Genomic DNA, 12,051 nt, shown 5'->3' with positions numbered 1-12,051 from the left:
ATGATATAATAAGCCCTTCTCATTAAACATGATATGGCTTTATGTTTCTTTCTTTGATATTTTAGATTCAGGAACTATGAGACATTATGTATTGATTTGAATGTTATTAGACCTGTAACATAATTCTTATCTGATGAATATATGATGAATATATTCCTTGTTCAAAATGAGTCATAAATTCAACACATCTCTACATCTATATTATGCCCATTTAATTTCTTTCAGCAATGTTTTGTAGTTTTTGGTGAACAGGTACTTTATGCATATGTACTTTATATTTATCTCTAAGTTTTATATTTCTGATGCCCTTTTAAGTGACATTTTTATTTCAATTTACAATTGTTTATTCTTAGCTTATGGGCACATAATAGATCTTTGTTTGACATTATATCCTGTAAACTTGCAAAACTTATAAGTTCCATCAGTTTTTTATAGGTTATGTAGGATTTTCTTTATAGATGATTATGTTGTCAGTGAATAAAGACATTTGCTTTTAAAATTCTAGTATGAATTCACTATATTCATTTTGTTGAATGCTGAGTAGAATTAGTTAGAGTAGACATCTTTGACTTGTTCCTGTTATGAAATATATTAAATATTTCATCATTAAGTATAATGTTAGCTATAATTTTTTTCATAGGTACTCTTTAACAGGCTGAGAAAGTTTTCTGTATTCACAGTTTGCTGAAAATTTCTTTTATCTTTAGTCAGGAATGGATCTTGGATTTTGTAAAGCTTTTTCGTTTCAGAATCAGGGTAATGCTGGCCCTTTAGAATGAGTTGGGAAGCATCTGCTCTTCTTAAATTTTCTGCCATAATTTTGTAGAATTCATATAATTTTTTTCTTTAAAAAGGGAAGTACTTAAGTATTTTTTCCCATAAGTTACCCATAAGTAAATCTAAAGGAAAGTGGGAAACTTTGATACGCATTGGTTGCCCCCTGGTGGAGATTTCTGGGTTCTTGATTATTTTAACACTGGAGATAGAATCTGGTGGAATGACGTCAATGCTACCGTGATTAAGAGGTGTGTAGGAAATGCTTCATGTAAAAGAGAAAATAGTCTTTATGAGAATCTGCCTGGTGGAAAGGAGTTGGTGCAACAATAACAATATAAATTAGTGAAAAATTTTAAATTGACAAATAATAATTGTATCTATTTATGGGGTACAATGTAATGTTTTGATACATGTTTAAATTGTGGAAAGATTAGGTCTATCTTATTGACATACATATCTTTTTTGTGGTGAAAACATTTAAAATCTACTCTGTTAGTCATTTTGAAACATACAATACCTTGTTATTTATTACAGTCACCATTCTGTGCAATAGTTCACTGAAACTTTGTCTAACTGAAACTTTGAACCCTTTTATCAACATCTACCTTTTCCATGTCTACCCCCAACTACTAGCCTCTGATAATCACCATTCCATTCTCTACTTCTATGAATTCAACTTTTTTAGATTCCACATATCAGTGAGATCATGTGATATTTGTCTTTTCGTGCCTGGCTTATTTCACTTAGCGTGATATCTTCTGGGTTAATTCATGTTGTCACATATATCAGGTTTTCCTTCCTATTAAGGCTGAGTAGTATTCCATTGTATATATACACTACATTTTCTTCATCCATTTGTCAGTTGATAGACACCTGTGTTGATTTCATATTTGGGTATTGTGAATAATGCTGCAATGAACATGAGCCTGGAGATATCTCTTCAGCATATTGACTTAAATTCCTTTGGATATATACAAGGAAGTGGGATTGCTGGATCATATAGTAATTCTAGTTTTAGTTTTTTGAGTAACTTTTATCTATTTTTCATAATAGTATTAATTTACATTTCCACCAACAGTGTACGAGGGTTCCCTTTTCTCTGTATCCTCTTCAACACTTGTTATCTTTTATCATTTTGATAGTAGCCATTCTAACAGGTATGAAGTGGCATCTCACTGTCATTTTAATTTGCATTTCCCTGATAATTAGGATGACAAACTTTTTTTATGTTAGTCATTTGTATTTTTTTTGAGAAATGTCTATTTAGGACCTTGCCCATTTTTTGACTTGGTTATTTGTTTTCTTGATATTGAGTTGAGTCCCTTATATATTTGGAGATTAGCCTTTCATCAGATGTATGCTCTGCAAATATTTTCTCACAACTTGTAGGTTGTCTCTTCACCATATTGTTTCCTTTGCTGTGCAGAAGCTTTTTAGTTTGATGCAATCCCATATATTTTTGCTTTTGTTGCCTGTGCTTTGGGGGTGATATCCAAGAAATCTTTGACCAAACCAACATTGTGGAACTTTTCCCCTATGTTTTCATCTAGTAGTTTTACAGTTTTATGTTTAAACCTTTAATCCATTTTGAATTGATTTTTGTGTATGGTGTGAGATAAGGATACACACCATACACATTCGTGTTCTTCTGCATGTGGATATCTAGTTTTCTTAACACCATTTATTGAAACAAATGTCTATTCTTCATTACGTTTTCTGGGCACCTTTGTCAAAAATTTATTGGTCATAAATGCATGAGTTTATTTCTGGGCTCCTTATTCTGTTCCCCTGGTCAATGTGTCTGTTTTTGTGCAAGTGTCATATTGTTTTGATTACTATGGTTTTGTGATATGTACTTGTTTTGGGGGGGATCGATTTTTATTTGGGTTTCTCACAGTGGTTAGAGAACAACCACAGCACAGGAAATGCCTCACCAAGATTGCCCAGAAAACTGACCAGCTGCATCTTATTGCTTAAAAATACACATATTCACAATAACTGACAAATGGTGATGTGCCTCACACAGGAATGTGTTCACATTTGCAATGCTGTGTACAGACTTCACTTCGTTCAACATAGATTTTGGTTTAATGGAATTCAAATGCGGATGCTTGTTCACAGCCTTGGATTTGTCTGTTTTTGGAGAGATACAACCTCCATGAGTATATCTGCATGAAAACCACAGACAATGAAGGTATTTCTTCATTGATTTATTTATTCTTTTGACTGTAGTAACAAACCCTGGATGACACCCTTCCTTTTAATTCACCTGGAAACCAGACTCAATCAAATCTCCCTGGTCCCCTCACTATTCCTTCAAATTCCCTATTTCTATCTCTTCCTGAGGAGGGTAACCTCCTGTAGCAGGGGTCAGACTGTGACTTGGGAATCAAGCTTAGGTCTGCAGGTTGCCTGTTCATCTTCTTGTAAAATATTGTAGAACACTGCAGTGAATCCAACAGTTAACACTCAGAGCAGTTCCCTGCTCTAACTCAGGAAAGAGACTTCAGAGGGTCAGGATTCATCCATTTGATCAGTTAACTGAGAAGGATTCATTTTGGTAAAACTTGTTCAGCTTTGAGACACTTCAGTGAGTTGTTTGAGATTTTTTTTTAAATTATATTTTAAGTTCTGGGGTACATATGCAGAACATGCAGGATTGTTACATAGGTATACACGTGCCATGGTGGTTTGCTGCACCCATCAACCCATCATCTACATTAGGTATTTAACCCAATGCTAACCTTCCCCCAGCCCCTACCCCCAGACAGGCCCCGGTGTGTTGTGTTCCCCTCCCTCTGTCCATGTGTTCTCATTGTTCAACTCTCATTTATGAGTGAGAACATCGGGTGTTTGGTTTTCTGTTCTTGGATTAGTTTGCTGAGAATGATGGTTTCCAGCTTAATCCATGTCCCTGAAAAGGATATGAACTCATCCTTCTTTATGGCTGCATAGTATTCCATGGTGTATATATGCCACATTTTCTTTATGCAGTCTATCACTGAATGGGCATTTTGGTTGGTTCCAAGTCTTTGCTATTGTGAACAGTGCCACAATAAACATATGTGTGCATGTGTCTTTATAGTAGAATGATTTATAATCCTTTGGATATATACCCAGTAATGCAATTACTGGGTCAAATCATATTTCTAGTTCTAGAACCTTGAGGAATCACCACACTGTCTTCCACAATGGTTGAACTAATTTACACTCCCACCAACAGTGTAAAAGCATTCTTATTTCTCCACATCCTTTCCAGCATCTGTTGTTTCCTGACTTTTTAATGATCGCCATTCTATCTGGCGTGAGATGGTATCTCATTGTGGTATTGATATGCATTTCTCTGATGACCAGTGATGATGAGCTTTTTTTCATATGTTTGTTGGCTGCATAAATGTCTTCTTTAGAGAAATGTCAGTTCATATCCTTCACCCACTGATGGGTTTGTTTGTTATTTTCTTGTAAATTGTTTAAGTTCTTTGTAGATTCTGGATATTAGCCCTTTGTCAGATGGATAGATTGCAAAAATTTTCACCCATTCTGTAGGTTGCCTGTTCACTCTGATGATAGTTTCTTTTGCTGTGCAGGAGCTCTTTAGTTTAATTAGATCCCATTTGTCAATTTTGGCTTTTGTTGCCATTGCTTTTGGTGTTTTAGTCATGAAGTTTTTGTCCATGCCTATGTACTGAATGGTATTGCCTAGGTTTTCTTCTAGGGTTTTTTATGGTTTTAGATCTTATGTTTAAGTCTTTAATACATCGTGAGTTAATTTTTGTGTAAAGTGTAAGAAAGGGATCCAGTTTCAGTTTTCTGCATATGGCTAGCCGGTTTTCCCAACACCATTTATTAAAAAGGGAATCGTTTCCCCATTGCTTGTTTTTGTCAGGTTTGTCAAAGATCAGATAGTTGTAGATGTGTGGTGTTATTTCTGAGGCCTCTGTTCTGTTCCATTGGTCTACATATCTGTTTTGGTACCAGTACCATGCTGTTTTGGTTACTGAAGACTTGTAGTATAGTTCGAAGTCAGACAGCGTGATGCCTCCAGATTTGTTCTACTTGCTTAGGACTGTCCTAGCTCTGCGGGCTCATTTTTGGTTCCATATGAAATTTAAAGTAGTTTTTTCCAATTCTGTGAACAAAGTCAGTGGTAGCTTGATGGGGACAGCATTGAGTCTATAAAAACTTTGGGCAGTATGTCCATTTTCATGATATTGATTCTTCCTATCCATGAGCATGGAATGTTTTTCCATTTGTTTGTGTCCTCTCTTATTTCCTTGAGCAGTGGTTTGTAGTTCTCCTTGAAGAGGTCCTTCACATCCCTTGTAAGTTGGATTCCTAGGTATTTTATTCTCTTAGTAGCAATTGTGAATGGGAGAGTTCACTCATGATTTGGCTCTCTGTTTGTCTGTTTTTTGCATATAGGAATGCTTGATTTTTGCACATTGATTTTGTATCCTGAGACTTTTCTGAAGTTGCTTATTAGCTTAAGAAGATTTTGGGCTGAGACCATGGGGTTTTCTAAATACACAATCATGTCATCTGCAAACAGAGACAATTTCTTTCTCTTGCCTGATTGCCCTGGCCAGAACTTCCAATACTACGTTGAATAGGAGTGGTGAGATAGGGCATCCTTGTCTTGTGCTGGTTTTCAAAGGGAATGCTTCCAGTTTTTCACCATTCAGTATTGGCTGTGGGTTTTTCATAAATAGGTATTATTATTTTGAGATATGTTCCATCAGTACCTAGTTTATTGAGAGTTTTTAGCATGAAGGGCTGTTGAATTTTTTCGAAGGCCTTTTCTGCATCTATTGAGAGAAGCATGTGGTTTTTGCCATTGGTTCTATTTATATGATGAATTATGTTTATTGATTTGCGTATGTTGAACTAGCCTTGTATCCCAGGGATGAAGCCGACTTGATTGTGGTGGACAAGCTTTTGATGTGCTGCTGGATTTGGTTTGCCAGTATTTTATTGAGGATTCTTGCATCGATGTTCATCAGGGATATTGGCTTGAAATTTTCTTTTTTTTTGTTGTGTCTCTGCCAAATTTTGGTACCAGAATTATTCTGGCCTCATAAAATGAGTTAGGGAGGATTCCCTCTTTTTCTGTTGTTTGGAATAGTTTCAGAAGGAATGGTACCAGCTCCTCTTTGTACCTCTGGTAGAATTCGGCTGTGAATCCATCTGGTCCTGGACTGTTTTTTGGTTGGTAGGCTATTAATTCTGCCACAATTTCAGACCTTGTTATTGGTCTATTCAGGGATTCAACTTCTTCCTGGTTTAGTCTTGGGAGGGTGTATGTGTCCAGGAATTTGTCCATTTCTTCTAGATTTTCTAGTTTGTGTAGAGGTGTTTATAGTATTCTCTGATAGTAGTTTGTATTTCTGTGGGATCAGTGGTGGTATCTCCTTTATCATTTTTTATTGCATCTGTTTGATTCTTCTCTGTTTTCTTCTTTATGAGTCTGGCTAGTGGTCTATCTATTTTATTGATATTTTCAAAAAACCAGCTCCTGGATTCATTGATTTTTTTTGAAGGTTTTTTTGTGTCTCTATCTCCTTCAGTTCTGCTCTGATCTTAGTTATTTATTGTCCTCTGCTAGCTTTTTGTATGCTCCTGCCTCTTGAGTTCTTCTAATTGAGATGTTAGGGTGTCAATTTTAGATCTTTCCTGCTTTCTCTTGTGGGCATTTAGTGCTATAAATTTCCCTCTACACACTGCTATAATTGTGTACCAGAGATTCTGGTATGTTATGTCTTTGTTCTCATTGGTTTCAAATAACTTATTTATTTCTGCCTTAATATCTTTATTTACCCAGTAGTTGTTCAGGAGCAGGTTGTTCAGTTTACATGTAGTTGTGTGGGTTTGAGTCAGTTTCTTAATCCTGAGTTCTAATTTAATTGCACTGCGATCTGAGAGACTGTTATGATTCCCATTTTTTTTTGCATTTGCTGAGGAGTGTTTTACTTCCAAATATGTGGTCAATTTTAGAATAAGTGCAATGTGGTGCTGAGAAGAATGTATATTCTGTTGATTTGGGGTGGAGAGTTCTGTAGCTGTCTATTGGATCCACTTGGTCCAGAGCTGAGTTCAAGTCCTGGATATCCTTGTTAACTTTCTGTTTCGTTGATCTGTCTAGTATTGACAGTGGGATGTTAAAGTCTCCCACTATTATTGTGTGAGGGTCTAAGTCTCTTTTTAAGTCTCTAAGAGCTTACTTTATGCATCTGGGTGCTCCTGTATTGGGTGCATATATATTTAGGATAATTAGCTCTTCTTGTTGCATTGATCCTTTTACCATTATGCAATGCCCTTATTTGTCTCTTTTGATCTTTGTTGGTTTAAAGTCTGTTTTATCAGAGACTAGGATTGCGACCCCTGCTTTTTTTTGCCTTCCATTTGCTTGGTAAGTATTCCTCCATCCCTTTATTTTGAGCCTATTTGTGTCTTTGCACGTGAGATGGGTCTCCTGAATACAGAACACTGATGGGTCTTGACTCTTTAGCCAATTTGCCAGTCTGTGTTTTTTAATTGGAGCATTTAGCCCATTTACATTTAAGGTTGATATTGTTATGTGTGAATTTGATCCTGTCATTACGATGCTAGCTGGTTATTTTGCTGTTAGTTAATGCAGTTTCTTCATAGTGTCAATGGTCTTTACAATTTGGTATGTTTTTGCAGTGGCTGATACCAGTTGTTCCTTTCCATGTTTAGTGCTTCCTTCAGGAGCTCCTTTAAGGCAGGCCTGGTGGTGACAAAATCTCTCAGCATTTGCTTGTCTGTAAAGATTTTATTTCTCCTTCACTTATGAAGCTTAGTTTGGCTGGATATGAAATCCTGGGTGGAAAATTCTTTTCTTTAAGAATGTTGAATATTGGCCCCCATTCTCTTCTGGCTTGTAGAATTTCTGCTGATAGATCTGCTGTTAGTCTGATGGGCTTCCCTTTGTGGGTAACCTGACCTTTCTCTCTGGCTGCCCTTAACATTTTTTCCTTCATTTCAACCTTGCTCAATCTGATGACTATGTGTCTTGGGGTTGCTTTTCTTGAGGAGTGTCTTTGTGATGTTCTCCGTATTTCTGAATTTGAATATTGGCCTGCCTTGCTAGGTTAGGGAAGTTCTCCTGGATAATATCCTGAAGAGTGTTTTCTAACTTGGTTCCATTCTCCCCATCACTTTCAGGTACAGCAATCAAACGTAGATTTGGTCGTTTCACATAGTCCCATATTTCTTGGAGGCTTTGTTCATTTCTTTTCATTCTTTTTTCTCTAATCTTGTCTTCTTGATTTATTTCATTAAGTTGATATTCAGTCTCTGATATCTTTCTTCCGCTTGATCGAATCAGTGCTTGATCCTTGTGCATGCTGCATGAAGTTCTCATGGCATGTTTTTCAGCTCCATCAGGTCATTTATGTTCTTCTCTAAACTGGTTATTCTAGTTAGCAATTGGTCTAGCCTTTTTTCCAGGTCCTTAGCTTCCTTACATTGGGTTAGGACATGCTCCTTTAGCTTGGAGGAGTTTGTTATTACCTACCTTCTGAAACCTACTTCTCTCAATTCATCAAACTCATTCTCCGTCCAGTTTTCTTTTGTTCCCTTGCTGGTGAGGAGTTGTGATCCTTTGGAGGAGAAGAGGCGTTCTGGTTTTTGGAATTTTCAGCCTTTTTGCTCTGGTTTCTCTCCATCTTCATGGATTTATCTACCTGTGGTTTCTGATGTTGGTAACCTTCTGATGAGGTCACTGAGTGGCTGTCCTTTTTGTTGATGTTGATGCTATTCCTTTTTGTTTGTTAGTTTTCCTTCTAACAGTCAGGCCCCTCTGCTGCAGGTCTGTTGGTGTTTGCCCTAGGTCTACTCTAGACCCTGTTTGCCTGGGCATCACCAGCGGAGGCTGGAGAACAGCAAAGATTGCTGCCTGTTTCTTCCTCTGGAAGTTTTGTCCAAGAGGGGCACCCACCAGATGCCAGCCAGAGCTCTCCTGTATGAGGTGCCTGTTGGCACCTACTGGGAGGTGTCTCCCAGTCAGGATACACGGGGGTTAGGGACCCACTTGAGGAGGCAGTCTGACCCTTATCAGAGCTCGAATACTGTGCTGGGAGATCTGCTGCTCTCTTCAGAGCCATCAGGCTTTTCAAAGATGCTTTAAGTCTGCTGAAGCTGTGCCCACAGGCGCCCTTTCCCCTAGGTGCTCTGTTCCAGGGAGATGGGGGTTTTATCTATAGGTCTCTGACTGGGGCTGCTGCCCTTTTTTCAGAGATGCCTTGCCCAGAGAGGAGAAATCTAGAGAGGCAGTCTGGCTGCTGTGGCCTTGCTGAGTTGTGGTGGGCTCCACCCAGTTCAAACTTTCTGGTGGCTTTGTTTACACTGTGGGGGTAAAACTGCCTACTCAAGCCTTGGCAATGTGGAAGCCCCTCCCGCCACCAAGCTCGAGTGTCCTAGGTCAACCTCAGACTGCTGTGCAAGAATTTCAAGCCAGTGGATCTTAGCTTGCTGGGCTCTGTATGGGTGGGACCCGCCGAGCCAGACCACTTGGCTCCCTGGCTTCAGCCCCCTTTCCAGGAGAGAGAATGGTTCTGTCTTGTTGGCATTCCAGTTGCCATTGTGGCATGAAAAAAAAAAAAAAACTCCTGCAGCTAGCTCGGTGTCTGCCCAAACAGCTGCCTAGTTTTGTGCTTGAAACCTAGGGCCTTGGTGGCAGAGGCACTGGAGGGAATCTCCTGGTCTGTGGATTGTGAAGACCGTGAGAAAAGCATAGTTTCTGGGTGGAGTGCACCGTTCCTCATGGTACAGTCCCTCGGGGCTTCCCTTGGCTAGGGGAGGGAATTCCCCCAACCCCTTGCACTTCCCGGGTGAGGCGACACCCCATTCTGCTTTGGCTCACCCTCCGTGCGCTGCACCCACTGTCCAACCAGTCCCAGTGAGATGAACCAGGTACCTCAGTTGGAAATGCAGAAATCACCTGCATTCTGCATTGATCTCACTGGGAGCTGCAGACTGGAGCTGTTCCTATTTGGCCATGTTGCCAGCAAATTCTGAGATTTTTTTTAAAAGTGCAAAGAAAGACATCTGAGGGGTGCTGACATATTCGGGTCACCTCAAGCCACATGCCAGCTTGCTTGCCCCTGTTGGATTCAGCAGAGGGAGATAGGCCTTGCCATACCTGTGGTGTCTGCCAAAGCTTCCTCCTGGCAATTCTTGGGAGTGCTGATACCTGGGCCACAGTTAGTCCAAGTTTATCACTGAAGATCCTATCAAAGTTTTGTCTGAAATTCCACTTTTGCCTTTTGTCCTAAGTGGTTGTGGACATCTCCAGGGGCTGATACCAAGGACTAGGAACAGCTGAGGGAGGCAGAAAGGTTCAGAGTACATCTCTATTTACAGGGAACAGAACACCGGCCTCCGAGAGTCCATGGAGCAATGGGAAAATTGCAGTGATTACTCATCACTGTGAAACTTCTACTTTGAATACAGTATCTTCTGGCAAGCATAGGGGACTGCAGTCGACAATGCTGCTGAATATACCTGAGTACATAGTAAGACATTTGTTTGGTAAACAGTCAATGCATACAATAAATTACCTTGAGAGGGCCATCTGTGCTCCAGATGTGAGAGTTCATGTGAATAGAATGGCCGCAATTCAAAGAATCTTCACAGGAAAACAGGGCTCAGAGCTCATCCACAATGGACAGACAGGGAGGGAAACAGGTGGAGGTTAGTTCACCACTTCCTCATAAGAAGGTAATAAATAGTTTGGTGAAATAAAATGGTAGCACTGAGTAATTGCGGGCTTCTGGATAGGCAGGCAGGTTGATTTCATGTTGCTACTGCTGGACTTGAGGGCTGGCTTGGCTGTGGTGGCAGACACAGCAGCAGCTCAGGATGATGGTGATGGTCCACGCGAGCCAGAACCACCAATGTTCATAGTAGTAGTTACAACACTGAGACTGCCCATAGCAGTGTCCTGTTGTGTCACAGATGTAGCTTTGATTGTTGGTACACACACAGGCTTCCTTATCCTGTGGGGGTTCAGCCCTGGCTGACACAGGGCTGGGCAGTGCCTAGAGGTGCAAGAGCTCCATGCCACCCAGGAGTCTTCCCTCCTTACTCCTCCTGCTCCTCCGACCCAGCGCGGGCACCTCCCTCCACCCTTGCTGCACTTCTCCTCTACCCTCTTCTTCCTTCTTTTGTTCTTTTCCTGTAATACGTTTTGAAGTCAGATTGTGAGGCCTTCAGCTTTGTTCTTATTGCTCAAGAGTGCTTTAGTTATTCAGGGTCCTTTGTGGTTCCATATAAATTTTCAAATTGTTTTTTCTATTTCTGTGAAGAATGACATTGAAATTTTGATAAATGTTGCATTAAACCTATAAATCGCTTTGGGCAGTAAGGACATTTTAAGAATATTAATTCTTCCTACCCATGAACATAAAATATCTTTCCATGTATTTGTGTCATCTACAATTTTTCATCAATGTTTTATAGTGTTCAGAATACAGATCTTTCACCTCCTTGGTTAAATGTACTCCTAAGTACAATCCTAAATGTGCTCCTAAACAAAAAAAATACAGTTTTTTTGATGCTACTGTGAATGAGATTGATTTCTTTATTTTTGTCATATAGTTTGTTGTGAGTGTAAAGAAACTACTGAGTTTTGTATATTGATTTTGAATTCTGCAATTTTATTGAATTCATTTATCATTTCTAATAGCTTTTTGGTGGAGTTTTTAGGGTTTCCTATATATAATATGTCATCAAACAGAGACAATTTTACTTCTTCCTTTTCAATTTGAATATCTTTTATTTCTTTATTTGGCTTAATTGCTCTGGCTAGGACTTCCAGAAATAAGTTGAATAGAAGTAGTGAGAATAAATATCCTTGTCTTGTTCTTGATCTTAGCAGAAAAGATTTCACTTTTTCATTGTTGGGTATGATGTGAGCTGTGAGCTTGTTATATATGTCCTGTTTTGTGTTAAGGTACATGCCTTCTACGCCCAATTTGTTGAGAGGTTTTGTCATGAGAGGATTTTGAATTTAGTCAAATGCTTTTTCTGCATATATAGAGATAGCTATTTTTTTATCCTTCATTCTGTTAATGTGGTTTATCACATTTGATTTGTGTTTGCTGAAACATCTGGAGGATAAATCCACTTTATCATGGTAAATGTTCTCCTAATATGTTGTTAAATTCTGTTTGCTAGTACTTATTTTGAGGACTTTTGTATCTATGTTCATCAGGGATATTGGTTGGCCCATACTTTTCTTATAGTGTCCTTGTT

The 12,051-nt window shown here is 39.0% G+C and overlaps 1 pseudogene; it reads right to left on the bottom strand.

The window, feature by feature from the left end:
• WBP1LP7 (WBP1L pseudogene 7) lies at positions 10,470-10,976 on the bottom strand (annotated as a pseudogene).

This window comes from Homo sapiens, chromosome 1 (genome assembly GCF_000001405.40).
Source record: "Homo sapiens chromosome 1, GRCh38.p14 Primary Assembly".
NCBI lineage: Eukaryota > Metazoa > Chordata > Mammalia > Primates > Hominidae > Homo > Homo sapiens.
This window is presented reverse-complemented; position numbering and strand designations above follow the sequence as displayed.